The 19,013-nt window shown below is 39.4% G+C and overlaps 1 protein-coding gene across 10 annotated transcripts in view, besides 1 other annotated feature; it reads right to left on the bottom strand.

Moving 5' to 3' along the window:
- The window catches only part of NRG1 (neuregulin 1), a 1,134,802-nt gene that overhangs the window by 432,336 nt on the left and 683,453 nt on the right, over positions 1-19,013 (bottom strand). The window lies entirely within an intron of this gene.
- Positions 18,004-18,298: a silencer, noted in NCBI's record as "tiled region #6165; HepG2 Repressive non-DNase unmatched - State 10:DNaseD, and K562 Repressive non-DNase unmatched - State 24:Quies". NCBI's record gives its function as "represses a minimal TATA promoter and a strong SV40 promoter by Sharpr-MPRA in HepG2 and K562 cells {active_cell/tissue: HepG2 | K562}" and the evidence as "EXISTENCE:reporter gene assay evidence [ECO:0000049][PMID:27701403]".

Below are 19,013 nucleotides of genomic sequence, written 5' to 3'. Positions count from 1 at the left end.
TTTAAGAATTGAGATGATAGCATGCCTATCACTGCCTGAGAACGGACACGGAAAACAAACAAATGAGATCAGCCAGCTCCCCTGCCTGTGCCTATGTGGCCTGGGCAACTAGGCAGGAGTTAGGGGACCTGTGACATTGGGTTCCTGCTCCTTTGGTGTAATCCCTGGGCCTCACTGCCCACAGGACAGCAGGAACCTCAAACCTGACTCAGAAATCTGAGTCTGAAGATCCCAAGGCGAAATGCCTCATTCCTCTGTCCTTACAGTCTTCTGTAGAACCAGGGGATGACATAAAAAATTTCAGCCACGAGCTGACCAGTGCTTCACTTTGCCCGAGTGGAAAATTCCTCTCTCTTCTCTGCCAAAGGATGTTGGATTTCCATCTGCCTGCTAAGTGAACAGGTTTAGAAAGTAATTATTCTGAAAGAAGTATGTTCTAGAAATGCAAAGTGGAATAATAGAACCCTCTTAAACATGACTCATTATAAGAGACCTATCTGGAATTCGGGTTTCTGCACGTTATCTTGGAACAAAATAAATGTATACAAGAAGCTGGGCTTAAGACAGTATATCTATAGACCTATCCTGTTGGATTTTGAAGATACAGGAAAAAGATGTAGACACACTGAGTTAAATGATTTGAGCTACATCTCTCATGTTTCGTTATTGTCAATAACAATACATCTCTCACGTATTGTTATTGGGTTCAGCAAGTGTTTCTCATACAGGGCCACTCAATGTTGTAGCTTTGCAGGCCATGTGGCCTCTGTTTCAAGCACTCATCTTGACTGTTGTAAAGCAAAAGCAGCAACAGGCAGTGCATAAAAAAATGGGCATGGCTGTGTTCCATGAAACATTCACAAAACCAGGCAGCATGTAAGATTTGGCCCATTGGCTATCATTTGCTGACCCCTGATATAGCAGAAAAAGTACAGGATATCGGGCTTAAGGGGTTGAGTTAGAATCCCAGCTCAGGCATGTATTCTGTGAGTGACCTTGAAAGTTCTTGAGTTTTTCAGAGTCCCTCATTCTTTGTGATATGGAGATAATGATACTGAATCCAGGAGCTTGAAATGAGTATTAAAAGAAACAATGAATACAAAGTGTTGAGCTTGTTGGCTGGTCCATCCAGCCAACTTATATGGTATGTATAAATTCCTTTAAATAATGCCATTTCTACTTTCTCAGGTCTCCTTTTACCAGAAAGAAGTATATTTTACTACCAATGGTACAGCATCAAAATCGAATCTGGTTAGCAGGTGGAAAGAGACAGAAATCGAGCTCCCATGAGACAGTCATGAAGGGATGAGACACAGGAGGCTGTTTTGCCCTCTAGGATTTAGCAGCCACTGAGTGGTGCTAACCCTTTTCAATTTCAAGAGGTTGAATTAGGCCAGAATTGCACCTGTCATTAAGCCTGCCCCAGGAGATGACAGCTCAAGACAGAGCTAAAAGTGTGTGTGTGTATGTATGCATACATGCATATTGTTTTATTTTTTATTTTTTACATGTGTATTGTTTTAAATGTTGCACACTATAAAATAATATGGCACAGATATTTCATTAAATGCCAATTAATCTCTTGACATTGTGCAGTAGTGGCACATTTTTTCATTTCCTATCCATCACATATCTAGTTCTATGGCAGAAGTCCTAGAACCACTCCCACCTTACCCCTTAGCAGCAGAGGGGAAGGAGAAAGTCAAGTTATCTTGCAGTCATTCCTGTCTGACCTCTAAAAGCCAGTATCTCAGACCTCATCAAGCAGATTTTTAGATAACACAATCCCTGCTGAGATTACAAACCATTAAAAAAAAGTAGAAACAATAGTAGAAGCCTTTCCTATGTAGACTATTTAGCATTTCAAGGCTTACAAAGGGTTTTTCAATCAACCTCCAACAACCAGCTGAGGAATACAGAAAGATAAACTCTGGAGAAAGTTGACTGGGTTGCAATATTCCCTCTAATACTTATTGGCGGTGACTACAGGCAATCAAAATGAAATTACTAAACGTCATTTTATTTGTCTGGAAAATGCCCATTTCATAAATTGGTTGTACAGATTAAATTAGATAAAGCATGTAAATAAAGCTCTTAGCACAGTGTCTAACATATGAAAAGTCCTCATTAAATGTCAGCTGTTGTAACTATGATCATTCCTATGCAACAGATGTAAACAACAAAACACAAATGCAAAACACACAACTTTCTGGATGTTTGCCTATGACATGAGGACTTGTTCTATTCATGGCCTATCCAATTTCACTATCTTTTTAGGTCCACACTACTATATTTAAAATATTTCATGGATGGAGATGCTTATTCTCGTTAGTTATTAACTCTACTTCAAGATATCTAAGAGACAAAGTGAGTATTTGGGGTTTAGGGGCAAAGGAGAGGAACTGATGAAATAGGTAAGTTTTTATCATTACAATTAGAATACCACTGAATTGCCTCCATCTTCTTTATTAACAATATGCACCATGGGTGTATATTCAACTTTGTTTTTGCTTTCAGTGTTGACAAATGCAAGTAGACCACTTTAGGGAGAGGGAACTGTAGTACATGGAAATAATGTTAAGAGGAAAAGATGATTTCTATTCTTCTGTGAACCACCGTGACTCTAAAAAGTGACAATTTTGTAGGGGCCACCTCTCTATGCCAGTCACTCAAATTAACAATGGATTTAATTTGTTCATGTGCTTTATCAGGGATCTATTCCTTATCCTGTTTCTCCCTTCTATGGTAGATAGGAGCTGTGAACTCCTCTCGAAATTCCTTTGATGGGATTGAGTTCCCCAGGGCTCATTGGAGACTTAAAGCCAGATGTAACAACTGATGTGAGATGCTTAATGCTCAAGACAATAATAAGCTTAAATAGGAACATTCTCCGGAGTATACAGAGTGGATACCTAGGCATGTTTGGATTTACCAAAGTATCATTTTTGCCAAGTGGTAAACATTTAATTGAAGACTGATAGCAACTATATATTTCTAACATGCTTCTGCATTTTAGGGTATAAAAATGTTTCATAAAATATCAATCCTTTTTTTATTTTACTGAAAAGTTTGGGGCTCATTGAGAATGAAGATTCTCCAAAGTCACGTAAAACCAGTACCAGATTTGAGAAGAGAGTCCACGTGGTCTGAGAAAACAACCCACTGAGACTCACTTGACTGCTTGTTTTTCACCATTCTCCTAGCGTACAGACATTTTGAAGGCTTTCACAATGAGCATGAATGCCTCATACTTATCAAACATATTTTGTAACTGTAGAATATTATACCTATGATCGTATGACACATGCCAAGTTAAAATTGTAAAGCAACCCATGTCAACCAGAATAAAGAATTTAGATGTTACATAAAGGTGAAGGGCAACAGGCTCCAACAAAGACAAAAAAGATCCATGCTTATTATCCAAAGCTGTCAACTTCCGGTGATAACTGCAATGCAACTTAGTCCAAGGCAAAGACGTTATTTATTCTTTCACATGGTACCTTTCTCCTATGCTCCTCCATATCCTCTCCTCCATAAAAGATAGAGTTCACTTCATGGTAACTCATGTGAAAGAGGTACAAGAAGCAGGAGTAATTCCAATGATGTATTATGCTTATCTTAAAATTTCGTGTGGCAGATTTGATGCCTTAAGGCCAAGAGTAAGTCATCTTTACATTTCAGGCACTGTGTATTCCAAGTCTATTAGGAGCAAATTGGGTTACATGTTAAAAAAGAAATAATTAAAGTATAATACTGAGATCCAGGAGACAAGACTCTAAATTTGGTCTCAACAATAACTAGTTCTGTGACCCCACATAAGTCATTTCAATCTCCTTTCCTAAATCTTCTCATTTCTGAGATGATGAATGGTGTGAGTGACACCTATTGATCTTTCCAACTCTGACACTGTCAGAGAAAACAGACTTTATAGATTGCAGGGATATGCAGGCTTGGCCTTTAGCACTACCATGTAAGAAGCAATGTGTTTTTCTTAATAGCTCAGGCTTCCCTTTCCTAACTGCATCAGCTTTTTTTTTTTTTTTTTTTTTTTTTTTTTGCAATAACTCTTTTTGTTCCTTCAGCCACTTAGGGTCTTTCTCTTAATCAGAATTTGATTCCTGGGAAGGGATAGAATGAATCAATGAAACATTAGTGTTAGTGTGATGTGACATGTATGTGGTCCCCATTCAAAGGCACATGAATTTTAAGTCTGAATTCCTCTGAAGTCTGATGGCCTCTACTTATAAAACAGACAAACTAAATGCTCCCTCACTCTTCAACATAGCCATCTTAGTGGTACTTACATAATCCCTTATCCAGACACTGCCACAGACTCACAGTGTTCCTCTCTGCTACCCCACCTGGTCATTCAATAGCCTTAGTATTCTTTAAAAAGTACATTCAGGCCAGGTGCATTCATGTATGTAATCCCAGCACTTTGAGAAGCTGAGGCAGGAGGACTGTTTGAGCTCAGGAGTTCAAGACCAGCTTGGGCAACATAGCAAGACCCCATCTCTACAAAAAAATTAAAACATTAGCTGGGCATGGTGTGTACTCCTGTAGTCACAGCTACTTGGGAGGCTGAGACAGGAGGATAGCTTTGAGCACAGGAGTTTGAGATTATAGTGGGCTATGATTATACCACTGTACTCCAACCTGGGAGACAGGGTGAGCCCCTGTTTCAAAAATTTTTAAAGTATAAAATTAAAGAAAAATAAGAAGTCCATTGAGATCATGTAATCTCCTTGCTGAAATCCCTCAAATGGCTTCCCATTGTATGTAGAATAAAATGTCCACTCTAGGCCGGGCACAGTGGCTCATGCCTGTAATCCCAGCACTTTGGGAGGCTGAGGCGGGTGGATCACCTGAGCACAGGAGTTTGAGACCAGCCTGGCCAACATGGTGAAACCCCATCTCTACTGAAAATACAAAAACTAGCTGGGTTTAGCTGCGGGCACTTGTAATTGCAACTACTCAGGAGGCTGCAGCAGGAGAATCGCTGGAACCTGGGAGGCGGAGGTTGCAGTGAGCCCAGATTGTGCCACTGCACTTCAGCCTGGGTGACAGAGCAAGACTTTGTCTCAAAAACAAACAAACAAAAAAATGTCCACTCTACCATGGCCTCTAAGCACCAGTCGAAACTGACTAGCCTCTTGGGTCTCTTTGTTCTTTTTCATTAAGCCACCCAGATTTTTTTGTTTTTTAATTTTTTTTGAAATAGGCTCATTCCTGCCATGAGGACTTTTCATTTTTGATTCTCTCTGCCTGGATTCCTCTTTTCCTCACAGCCTCAGGTCTACCCATGAGGGTTTTGGAAACGACCTCACTAGGGAATCCCCTGACCACACCTGGTTGTTCTCTCGCTGCTCCATGGCTGCCCTGTTTTCCGCATCTCACTCATCACGGCTGGAAATGATCTTCCTTGTCATTTATCATCTGACCTCCCCCTCACTAGAGTATAAGAGCAAGGGAGTGGATGATGGACAAATTTACAAAAAGGAAGTTTATGTTATCTTGAACTAAATAAAGAGAAGATTCTGGATTAGAAGACCACTCCTAAATGTGGGCTATCCCATTCATAGGCTTGTTGTGTGAAGTCTGACCCTGTGGGTGTCTTCTCTGGACAAGCCATGGGTGCCACTTGCTTCATAGTTAGTAATAGCGTCCTTTGGGTACAATTTCCGGTGTGTGTATGATACAATTTCCAGTGTGTGTGTGTGTGGGTGGGTGGAGAGTGAGGGTAGGTGTGTTTTCATGCATGTATGTGGTGGACAAAGGGAGGATGTTAGCATTGTCCATGTCTTCCTGGCTTTGTAGTTTTCTAGATCCGATGCTCAGAGACATGACCTGGCTGTGTGTGTTGCTTTGTGAGACCCAAGACCCTCTCAGCACAGCGAGGAGACGGCCTATGTTGGGCTGCATTTCTTTCAAACGTGTTTGAGAGGAAGTGTTATGACAGGGCCCAAAGCAAGGTAATAACAGACAGGACTATAAACTCAGGCTCCATCTGCCAGTCCGTCAAGCAGAATCTCATTTATGAAATAAACTTATGGAAGGCCTATTATGTGCAAGGCCCTGAGGTCTTTTTTCCTACTCTTTTATTACTTGTTTTCCAGTACTGGGGAGGATGTCAGTGTGGGAGCTTTCAGAATAGTCTTCTTTGTGGCCTTCAGGCCCCTAACACTATATTTTGGAAATAAAATATGAGCAACTCTATCTTTGTGGCCTAAGGAGGAAAAGCTGGACCCACACTGACAATGGATTGGTGAAGGATTGCCACCCAAAGCTCGAGGAGCACTGCCTACCTGAGGACAGAGGAGAATAACAGAATAATTGTCTGTGTGAACTCCTTAATCACAATTGTTTTCTGGAAAGGAACTGGTAAGCTCACCCACACTGAATTATAAATGAATTTGGGAAAGATTTTGGGAAAATTCGCATGCACCATGTAGAAAGCCTCCATTGTCTTAAACCACAAGAATCAAGTTGTAATTGTAAATTTTCAGTTAATAAGAAAATAGTTTTATATGCCTAGAGCCAGAGGTATCTACGGAGCATTTCCAAAATCATTCTCTGCAAATTACCACCTGCTTTACCACTTCAGTTTAAATCCTATGGTATAATATATAAATTATATATATACCACTATATCAATTATGGATCATTATTTTTCTGAGCCTCCACTTTCTTATCTGTGAAGCAGTAATAATAACACTGGACGTGCAGGGCTGTTGTAAGAGAAATACACTTAAAGTGACCACCAAAGAAAGTGGCATTGACTCTGAGCCTTGTTTATTGACATTAAAGGAGTCTGAGTTCAACCTGCTACGGAGATTTGCCAAAAGAACTTATTTGTATTTTCCTCTTTGTTATTCATAACATTTGCCATATTTCAACATCTTTCTTGTTTGTGGTAGAGAACAGAAAACAGATATGTCACAGTATCAAAACATTAATAACCAATTTCAACAATTATATTGTTGGCCTTGATATACTTTCTGAATTCCAACCAGATAGCTATTCTACTTCCTTCCCATTTGACATATCTTGCTTTTCTGAAACAGGGCCTTTTCAGTTACCGGTTTCTAAGGAGCAATAACTGGGAAAGTACCAAGATCTTACATGCCTAAAGGCTCTGGAATGTCGTGGCTTTTATTTTTCTTAGCCAGAGGAGATGCAAATATTTAACTATGAATCATCTGAGCTGGGACTTCCTTATAGTAATAATGGCAAACCTTGGAGAGCCTTTCTTTTGTCAATGTCTGGATAATCAGGGACCTCAGAGGATATTTACTCAACTTCTGATCAGAGACTTTGCTCCTCCTTTCCCGTGGAAGTGGCCTCTGGAAAGTGTCAGAGCTCTCAGATTATTTTTTCTAAGATTACACTGAGCTTTTTAATATTAGAGATAAGTAGACAGTTTTCATGATTCCAATCCAGGACATTTTTATTTTCTCTACTGTCATTCACTCAACAAATATTTTTGAGCACTTTCTCCATGCTGGACACTAAAAAGACTGCAGTGAAAAAGATGAAAAGGTCATATTCCAAGTCCTAAAGAAAAAAACAGTCTTGTAAGTGATATAAATGAGTTAAAATAAAAGATGTAAGTACCTGTCATGTAAGTACAGCATAAATTCTATGGGATCAAATGGATGCAAGTTTTTAATTGTGCAGGAGGGTAACAGGAAAGGAGATTCAAGAAAAGTTTTGCAGAAGAAGTGGCACTTCAACCTAGGAAAAGGTGAGCAGAAATTGCCAATGGAATCACAGAGATGGAAATGTTATTCCTAGCTGAGGGTTGACATACACCAAGGCATAGTGGTCTGAAAGAATCTGTTGTGTTTACACAACTGGAAGTAGTTTAGTTTTTTTATGGGAAGAACATACATTTCGTACACAGGGTAACAGGAAAGGAACAGGAAAAATACAAGCCAGATCACAAAGCACAAGGTATCTGTAAATATAGGTGGTTTTATAACGTTCCATTGTACGTATCTTTAAGCAAAAATTCTATTTGGAACAATAATTAGTTATTTTACACCAGTTAAAATGTAAAAGACAATCATTTAACTTTAAAAACATTGATTACAGGGGTCTCTTCTCATACATTTAAGTGAGTCCCTTACTGAAATTTGATTTATTGAGAACCGATTCAAGACCATATCCATGCATAATTAAGAAAAAACTAATTTATTCTTTCTAAAATCTGACTTCCATCCATGTTTTACAAATATTTATTCAAGGGATCCCATTATGCCCATCACAATGTCACAAACACCAGGGTTAAAGACAGCCCCTGCATTCTAGAAGCCAAGTTAATACCATAGGAGAATACCTGAATGCATTGTGATACATCTACACTGTGGAATGAATGTCACGTGGCCAGTGAAAAAAATAAATTAGGGCTTTGCCAGGTGACATGGGGTGACTGCTGAGTGAGCAAAGCAACATCTAAAAGAGTACATTTAAGATGATCATGTTTTTGAAACACCAATGAGTTCCATTAACGTAAATGAGAGATACAAGCCTATGAGAGAATAAAAGGTATAGAAAAAACACATAGATTTTTAACCTGTCTTTTTGGGATAGACAACTCTGGTAGGATGAGAGCAGATGATGTCCATCCTTCTTTAAAAAAATGGTTATATTGTCCCATTTAATTACTGTGTATGGGTGTGGGTAGGTGGTACATTAAACAATGCATGGAAGGATAAAGAACAAAATTTTAATGATGGTTATTTCAGGGTCATGGGATTCCAGGTAACCTTTCCTTTCTTCAGAATGCTTTAGTCATTGATTTAACTTTTACATGGGCATGTATTATTTAAATCATTAAAAAGCAATTTTTACCATAAGAAGTTGGGAGTGAGTGAGTAAAACACAGTCTTCTGAGCAAAACAGACGAGCTTGCATATGACAGAGAGGCCTCACGGTCTGGTGGTTAATTGCACCTGTTGTGGAGCCAGACTCCCTGGATTAGAATCCTAGCCTTTTTTCTTACTTGCTATGACATCAAAGAAAATGTATTCAATTCTCTATGCTTCAGTTTCCTTTTCTATAAATTGGTGAAAATAATAGACTGCTCTCATAGAATTGTGATGAGGGTCAGAAGAATAATCATTTGTAAATCACTTAGATTAGTGCCCGGCATATGGTAGAAACTATACAGGTGTTTATTATACAAAATAATGCATTGTAATGGTGTATCCTAATTGATGTAATAAAAATCTACAAGGAAGGCAAGGGAAGCACACAGAGAAGTGACTGACAGGATCTGCAGCTGTCAAGAAGGGGGTCAGGGAAACTTCCCAGAGCAGAATAAACCTAGACTAACAGTGAAGTCACGCAATGCTGAGCATGGACTTGGCCAGAGAGAAAGTGGGAAAAGAGCTGTCTTAGGAAGAAAGGAGGAGAAACCAATGTCTGAGAAGAACACGAGGCTGCTGTGTTTGTGTTTTTCCTTTAAGGCCAAAGACAGCAAATTGATCATATCTAAAGTGTGAAACCTCAATACATTGGCTGAACTCCTTATGGGTTTGAATAACTTACAACCTTCTTTTTTTTATATTTTTTTATTTTTAAAAAACAGAGATGGGGTCTTGCTATGCTGCCCAGGCTGGTCTCAAACTCCTGGGTTCAAGTGATCTTCCCACTTCAGCCTCCCAAAGTGTTGGGGTTACATGTATGAGCCACCACTCCTGGCCACTTCCATCCTTCTTTATCCTTTACTGCATTAAAAAAAACTTCCCTTCATCCTTCTCTGGCCTTATATGTTTTACTTCCATTTGACATAGTCATCATTCATTGAGCAAGCTGATGTAAGATGCTGATTAATGGCATGCAAACATTTTGAAAAGCCCAGACACGTGTGTAACTTCCTAAATGAGATATTCAAGGCTAGGTCATCATGCTTCCCCCTGTAGGTTTTACTAAGCATCGGTCTGAGATGTTCATCTCTTAATCACACGCCACTGTCCTAACCACCCCCTAACCCAGTCACTAACTTGTTACTCACACTTCCTTTGGTTAACTCAACATTTATTTGCATTGTGATGTAAAGATCCCCAGGGCATATGATTTTGAATATAGATAAAAGATAACCTTCTCTTTGTAAAGAAATGTGTTCATGCATATTAAATTGTAAAGGGGCAATTTGAAGAAACTTTTGTTTTTTTAAGAGACAAGATCTCCCTCTGTCACCCAGGCTGGAGTGCAGTGGTATGATCACAACTCACTGCAGCCTCAACATCCCAGCCTCTAGCAATCCTCCCAGCTTAGCCTCCCCTTTAGCTAGGACAACAGGGGCATATCACCACACCCAGCTATTTTTTTTTTTTTTTTTGTATTTTTTGTAGAGTTGGGAGTTTCGCCATGTTGCCCAGGCTGGTCTGGAACTCCTGAACTCAGGAGTTCAGCCTTCCAAAGTGCTGGGATTACATCCCCCTCAGCCTTCCAAAGTGCTGGGATTACAGGCGTGAGCCGCTGTGTCCAGCCAGAAGAAGAAGCTTTCTGTTGAAGAAAATGAAAACTGGAAAAAGTAGTAAGAAAACTGGAGAGAGAAATTAACTCATGAAGACTTGCGTAACGACTCTATTTATGGATTTCTTTTTTTTTACACGCCACAAAAAGGCAAAAGGAATTGTCACAGGGTGTTCATCTGTCTAAAAAGGAGGACTAATAGAAACTCTCATACTAGAAGAATAAAACTCTTTTTCCTCAACAGACAGAAAAGTACAGGAAAACAAAACAAAACAAACAAAACAATCTAAAACTCTAGATCAGGAGAGAAACAATATAATCAGAAGAGAATAAATGTCATGGGTAGCCAAATATAAAAATACTCTCATTTCAGTGACTGTACAATACTTTAACACAGTAGAATTTCACACTGAAAACGACGCTGTGAATATGGCAGTGAGTGCCATGGTCCGTGGCCCAGATCCAGCCTTAAGGGGAACTCATTGACCAAATTGCTGGAAATGTTGCCTGATGCCAACTCATAGCTCACTAGCTTCCTAGGAACTACCCTCAACTGAAGAGTCCTCTTACCCCAAACCATACCTTTTCCTGGGGTCAACCCCAATGACTGGACAAAGTGACTTATGAATGCCTAGGGGCTGACCCCTTGTGGATCAGGATAACTCTGAAGGGCCATCCCAGCTCTAGAGCTGGTAGGATCTGCTGAGGACTCTGGCAAATGAATTCCAGTCCATCTTCCTCCTCCACATCCTTCACTTCCCCACAGGCATTCCTGAGAACACTCCCCAATAAACCTACTGCACTAACATCTCTATCTCAGAAACTGTTTCCTAATTCATCTAAGGCAACTCTCTAGACCTATCCTGTCATTTTATATCTGGAACAATTCAAAGTCACTAAAAAATTAAGCCATTCATTCAAAGTAGTACAACTGGTAAGTAATAGATTCAGGAATAGAATTTTGACTCCTGATCTAATCAAGTGCTCCATCCATCTAAAATATTGGTGGACCTGACAGGAAAGACCTAGAAAGCAAATCTATTAGTGAGACACAAGGTGCATGCCTGTAATCCCAGGTAAGGCAGGAGGATCACTTAGGGCCAGGAGTTCAACATTAGCAACACAGCAAGACCCCTTCCCTACACACTTTTTTTTTTTTTTTTTTTTTTTTTTTTTTTTTTTTTTTTAATTAGCTAGGTGTGGAGGCACATGCCTGTAGTTCTAGCTTCAGGAGACTGAGGTGGGAGGATCCCTTTGTGGTCAGGGGTTCCAGGCTGCAATGAGCTGTGATCAAGCTATTGCATTCCAACCTGGATGACAGAATGAGACCCCCTATCTCTTATTTTTAAAAAGAGAAATAAGACCAAAACCCCCCAAAACCTAAAGGTTGTGGTTTTGCTCTATATCACGTAGTTTACTTTCATAAATGTAGTTCTAAATCAAGCCTGAAATATTTTTGTGTCCTTAATACTACTTACCTGAGAAGTTTTGAGGGTTTTTTTTCCTGTTTTTGTTTTTAATATGTTACTGTTGAAAGAGTGATAGAAGAAGCAGCTAATACGAGCAAGAGCATGATGCTAAGCCTATAATTCCCAAGAGGGACTCGTTGCCAAGTTCCACAACAGCAGTGACGAACCAGGACTGAGAGCCATCAACTTAGACTCGGCCTTTTACAGCATTGACCTGTCAATGACTCATTTATCAATCAACTGCCTTTTATCCCCCATCACATTATTTTGAGTGTTATAGTTTCATCATGTTTTTAAAAATGCTTTTAAACTTTTTTTCACTTTTCTGAATGGATACTAATGTACACCTAGACTTGTGAACAGAAATATTATCTACATATAATCTACATTTTGGAATCCAATTGTCCTTTAAGGTTTGAGTTTTATAATTAAATCATTTTGAGATCATGGTTAACAAATACAAGAATAATAGATGATAATCTGTAGATGTCAGCTGGGCGCAGTGGCTCACACCTGTAATCCCAGCACTTTGGGAGGCTGAAGTGGGAGGATCTCTTGAGCCCACGAAGTCAAGACCAGCCTGGGCAACATAGGGAAAACCCACCTCTACAAAAAAATAGAAACAATTAGCCAGGCATGGTGATGCATGCCCATAGTGCCAGCTACTTGAAACTGAGGTGGGAGGATCGCTTGAGCTGGAGAGGTTGAGGCTGCAGTGATCTGAGGTCGTGCCCCTGCACTCCAGTCTGGGTGACAGAGTGAGACATTGTCTAAATTATAATAATAATAATGTGTAGATTTTAAGGGTTTTAACAAGTCAGAAGGAACTTTCTTCCACCTTCCACGTCACAGTCATGCACTGGCCTTATGTTTATGTTCAACTCCCATCAAGATTCAGCCAGCAGATGGTGAATTTAAAGTCAAACAGCAAAGAGGAATCTATAATTCCAAGATGATTTATGCTTTTCCCATCATTTGCTTGACCCCCTACTGCATTTAGTGCACTGTGGAGACCAGGCTTGACTCTCCTTCAGAAACCAATATGGAACCCACTCTCTAAGAACACTGAAGGCAAGTTTCATCTTAAAAAAATTACATTTTCTGCTAAAAAGCACCACTTTGGGACATTCAGCTTTTGTGATGGCCTTACTTTTGCTGTACATACTCCCCAGAGAGGTGGGATTTCTACAAAATGAATTTAAAATTAAATAACTGGATGTCATTTTAAATGGCCTGGCTTGATGCCACATGGATATTTGAAAAGGTAAAAAGTAAAGTTGTTTGGACTTCAGTTTAGGCAACATTCTATTTTCCCAGAAAAAAAAAAAAAAGATGTTAAATTTTAGTGTAAAAGCAAGTATTTTGTTTTATACTATTATTCTTTTTAAATGTTTGACAATACATAACAAATTTGAATTATACTACCCTCCCCAAATGATTCATGAAGCCAGCCTACTAACTCTGAGTGACATTCTGATCAAAATAATTGCCTTGGAAAGCTTCGCAGTGAGTGACACATTAACCACAGCAGGTATCCAAAGCTCTTTAAAAACACTGAGTCACACACCCTCACAGCATCTGTGAGATAAATGTGAGTGCGATATTATTATTCCCACTCTACCCAAAGGGACAACAATTTGCTTAAAAGATGCTGTCTCAATTTGGGACATTCTGTGTCTGCCATGCTCCTTCCTCTGACTTCAAGTCATTCTGTACTCAAAAAGGTCTAAGATGGTTTCATTCTTTCCACATTAAAGATTTGAAGAGAGGTAACTGGTTTCCCCAAAACCCAGATATCATATTACTTTCTGCCCTCAACTCAGTTTTCTTATGATGATAGAGTTGGTGACTTTTTCTAACCTTCCAAATTTCTAGCCAATATGGAAGCAGTGCTTGCAACATTATTGACACATTCATCTGGCCTCTGTCTAGTCTCCATCAACAGCAGAGGAATCTCACAATCTCACCACCTAATAAGGCTTCCTGCCCCATTCCTATGTTTTAATTGTTATAAAGGTCTCCAATATGGTGATCTAAAGTCTGTCTTTCAAATTCCACTGTGCTTCCTAGAATATAAAACAACAAAACAAAACAAGAAAAACAAGGATGATCTTCACATATGTGAACACATTTGTCATTTCTCTGCTTATTTTATCCAAGTTAAACTTCCACAGAAGATTCAACTATAACTTATATGGGACAATCTTCAGATCCTCAGTAACCTAGTCATCTTTTGTAATTTGGATACTAAGTGTCAGGATCTCCCTTAAAATAGGCCATCCAATATTGAAGCTAGTTTTAAGATACAGTCTAAGCAGAAAAGAGCAGAGACTATAACTTTCCATGGCAGAAGCACTCCAAGACTCAAGATGCTAAAGCAATGTTGTGACTGATTTCTTTTTCTTTGTTGTCTTTAAAAAATATATTCAGTTATGCAAGTCAGAAATCTCTACACCCTGTCACGACAGCATCTGGGCATAATTATGCCATATAAGTCAATATTGTTCACATATGGAAGAAAAGTTGGATCACACCATTCATTCTCCTTTGCTTCCTCTCTATTCTGATTCAGGTTCAAATAAACAGAAACCAGGGAGGAACCTCTTCTTTCTTTCATCTCTGTGCCAGCCCCACACTGCTCTGAGGAGCACGATCCTCTGAAATATGACAGGCAGTCAGAGACATTTCGGTCCAGCACAGGGCTGGAGGACTTCTATCCGATTCATTATTTTATTCCATTGACTAGCAGAATTTCCAAGACCTCTTTGATGAGGTTCTATTTATTGAAAGCAAAAATCTGAGCCCATGTTAGTGTTGTTGAGATTTCAAGAATTTGTCTCATTGCCAGAATTGTCTTATGATCAAAGATATTGCTTGAGCATAGGTTTTTTTAATTTTAAATAACCTCTTATTTATGGAATTCTTTATAGTGCCTAAAGGTTTGGAAATATGACTTTAATACTTATCTCTGAAGAACTTTGAGTATAATCTTAATTTTAACTCTATGTTTCTAATTTTTTTAAAAATTCAGTTTTAGGACTCACTGGTTTCTCTTTACTATAGTTGCTATAGTAAAATGTATATATCAGTATAAGTACTTCCTCGATGTTTTATCTAAAAATGTGATGGCTGGCTGCGCGTGGTGGCTCATGCCTGTAGTCCCAGAACTTTGGGAGGCCAAGGCAGATAGATTGATTGCTTGAGGCTAGAAGTTCAAGACCAGCCTGGGCAACATAGTGAGACCATGTCTCTACAAAAAATACAAAAATTAGCTGAGTGTGGTGAATTTAAAATTAAATAACTGGATATAGTCCCAGATACTTGGGAGACTGAGATGGGAGAATGGCTTGAGCCCAGGAAGTTGAAGATGCAGTGAGCTTTGATTGCACCACTACACTCCAGCCTGGGTGACAGAGTGAGACCTTGTCTCAAAAAAAAAAAAAAAAAAAAAAGCCTGGGCACAGTGGCTCACACCTGTAATCTCAGCACTTTGGGAGACCAAGGTCGGCAGATCACAAGGCCAGGAGTTCAAGACCAGCCTGACCAACATGGTGAAACCCTGTCTCTACTAAAAATACAAAAATTAGCTGGGCATGGTGGCGTGCGCCTGTAATCGCAGCTACTCAGGAGGCTGAGGCAGGAGAATCGCTTGAACCCAGGAGGTGGAGGTTGCAGTGAGCCTAGATCACGCCATTGCACCCAGCCTAGGTGACAGACAGAGACTCCATATCAAAAAAAAAAAAAAAAGTGACATCTGATGTGAAGAGAAAACATCAGTTGGACAAAATCATTTCTAGACTTAATATGGGCTGAGGGATAAACTCTGCCAGTAGCCAGCATCGTGGTGCTCAGCTCCCTAGTTACGAAAGAGGAATATGATCACTGTGTTGTGCTGTAAGCAATAGCCTGTGGAAATAGACATTCTGCACAGAGTAAATACTGAGTAATATTTAGAATCATAGATGTGAAAGGAACCTTTGATATCACCTAATTCAACCTTTTAATTTTTAATTTATTCTTTATTTAAAGCTTGCTTTTTGAGGCTCAGCAAGATTAAATGATTTATTCAAAATTATACAAATAGGCCAGGTGTGGGCACATGCCTATATTCCCAGCACTTTGGGAAGCCGAGGCAGGAGAATCACTTATGCCCAGGAGTTTCAGACCAGCCTGGTCAACATGGTGAAACCCTATCTCTACAAAATATAAAAAATTAACCAGGCATAGCAGCACATGCCTATAGTCCCAGCTGCTCAGAAGGCTGAGGTGGGAAAGGCCTGAGCCTGAGAGTTTGAGGCTGCAGTGAGCCACGTTTGTGCCACTGCACTTCAGCCTGGGGGACAGAGCTGTCTCTGTCTCAAAACAAACAAACAACAACAAAAAAATTTTTTAATTATATAAATAGGAAGTAACTGATTCAGTACTAGAGTCTCTTGATATCAATGCCATTGTGCCCCACCCCGTAACAGCTGTTTTGAATTATGACTTTATTTACCTGACCCTTTAAAAGTGCTATAAAGCCTAGTAAAACATTGCAATAAAGGTTCAGTCTTGCTTGGTTCACTAGAAGATGATTAAAAACCTCAATAAGATGTTTTCTCATGCCTCCTCCTTAAGTGTTGAATTTCTTTCTTTGTGAAATCAAAGCTTCTTATAACAGCATAATAAATAAGGATAATTGATATGGATGGCGATGACAATAAAATTCATACTTAAAGCATTTAGAACAATGCTCACTTCCAAAGTGGTCAATTAATATTAAGTATTATAATCTAATTTAAACATTCGGACAACCTTACAAAATACATAATATCATTATTCCTCACTTTACAGTTGACATTAATGAGGCACAGAGAGATTTATGTAGATTTCTCAAGGGCTTACAGCTTGAAAGAGTCAGATTTAGCTCTGAATCCAGGGCCTGCACACTTAGTTGCTACATTAGTGTGGCCAAAAAATGAGATGCTATCCTGAAGGTTTTAATAAATAATGGCTAGGAAGAAATTAATGTCCTTGGAAGCTCTTCTAAAACTATTGAGAACTATTTACAGATAAATTTTCCAATTTTTTATTTGCCTTTTCTGACATATTCAATTGCAGTGCAGAATCCTCAGAGTGAATCATATTTATTCTGCAACCACAGACATTAAAGTATTCTCTCATCAAAGTTTGGTGCTGGGAAGAATTATTTGATTCCCAGAATCCCAGATCCACATCTCAGCTTGTTTCAGAGATGCCTTCCCCATTAGTTAGAAGCCTCCACCCATTCCTTTTGCTACACACCTACATCCCAACTCAGGTTTCCAAAGCAGGAAAGCTGAATTCCCGGTACTCAAAAGCAAGCCCAAGCAAGACACTTCTCTACTCAATGCTTGCATTTCTTTAACAAGGATGGTGATTTTAAGGCACAGAAGAAGCAAATGAGCAATCAGTACCTCTCCTCCTGCACGATTTGGAGATACCCCCGGCTTACAGGGCATAAGCCTGCTTTCTGCAATAAGGACCATCTAAGAGCAGACTGTTTGAGTTTTCCCATCCATAAACCACAGAGGTCTACAGACAGCAGGACATAAGAGATGCCTGGCCTTTGCAAACAGTGTGCCTGAAGATACCAGAAGTCTGGTTGAATAATACACAATCAGTTTGGGGTGGAATTTTTTTTTTTTTGAGGGCTTTGATGAAAAACTACTGAGGCTTGACATTGCAATGAACCCATCCTGTCATTTCTGATCACGTAGCCACTTTATAGTTGGATTAGCTTTCTCCTGACACGATTGTTGTGAGAGGCAGATGAGGAAGATGTGTGATAGGAAACATTTTTGGAATCAGCAGTTACTGAAACTATGGTACTATTATTCCAAGGTGGACTTTGTTACTGATTCCACACTAGGCTTCTCAAAGCCCCACCATGTGGGCTCATTCAGAGGCATCTCTACAAAAGCTATTGTCTGCCACCCATCTGCTCACAAAACCAACCCTTTGACTCCTCAGGATCAACCCAGATATTGAATCCTTTTATAGATAAACTGAGAATTCTAGATTAGAGAGCTAAAGGAGAAAAAGAGGAAATGAATCAAATTCCAACAAGTAAGGAAAAAATGGCTTACGTGCCCTCAAGGCAGAGGCCAAAGGATCACTCTGTACAGTGATAACCTATGACTCAACGTTTTATCATTTAGAGCTCACAATTCTCCAATCCCTGCAGGACCATTGCTGGCTTCTGTTCCAAGGGATGCCCTACCAGGGAGGTGGCTGATGGAAGAGATGGGCGGGTGAGCCCTGTCTCTGAACTGCTGCATGCTATGCCTGCCTTTTCCTGGCTGTGATTTTCCACCCTATAGGCTCTAAATCAGTCTCTTTTCTTTATTTTTTTCCAAAAGAAGCAAAGGGAAGCCCTTGAGATTCATGTTGGTATCAACAGGAAACCTGGAAAAAAAGGAAAATCAAAGAGGAAACCAAAATGCACATAACTAAGAATAGGAATTTCAAGTACATTGCTTTTGGAAAGGGAAAATTAAACTTTTGATAAGTTGGATTGCAGGGTGAGGGGAGGTGTGGAGTAGAGTGTGGAGAACAATGAATGAGGGAAGGGAGGAGGAATCTTCTTTACATAGGAATCAGAGGTGACCTCATATACTATTTTATGTGGCTTTTTTTAAAGCTTTGTGTAAAACCGAGCATATTTCATAATGACCTTACTCTCACGGAAGGTTATTAAGTTAAATGACTGTATCGAGGGCCATAGTTAGGTGGTGTTGGGTGTTGTCCTCTTTCTCAGATTTCTAGTTCCCAGGTGTTTACTCCTGCTTAGATAGAGTGGTGAAAGCCATCAGTATCTTTGGTGTCTTAGGTGAGTATATATTAATCCGCTTTGTTATAAGTATGAAAAAAAAAAAACCCAGAGAATTGCTATTATAGAATAAAATGCCTCAGTCAGGTAAGAGAAATTCACTCTTTGAAAATATATCATGGGGCTTCAGTTGATGATTTGCTCAGTGTTCTGGAACCAAAATGTGTTAACTAAAAGGAGAAAATCATTTCAGAATATCCTTCCTTTCCTGT

Source organism: Homo sapiens, chromosome 8 (genome assembly GCF_000001405.40).
Source record: "Homo sapiens chromosome 8, GRCh38.p14 Primary Assembly".
In the NCBI taxonomy this organism is placed as follows: Eukaryota; Metazoa; Chordata; class Mammalia; order Primates; family Hominidae; genus Homo; species Homo sapiens.
The sequence above is the reverse complement of the archived record's forward strand: the minus strand, read 5'-3'. Positions and strand labels throughout refer to the sequence as shown.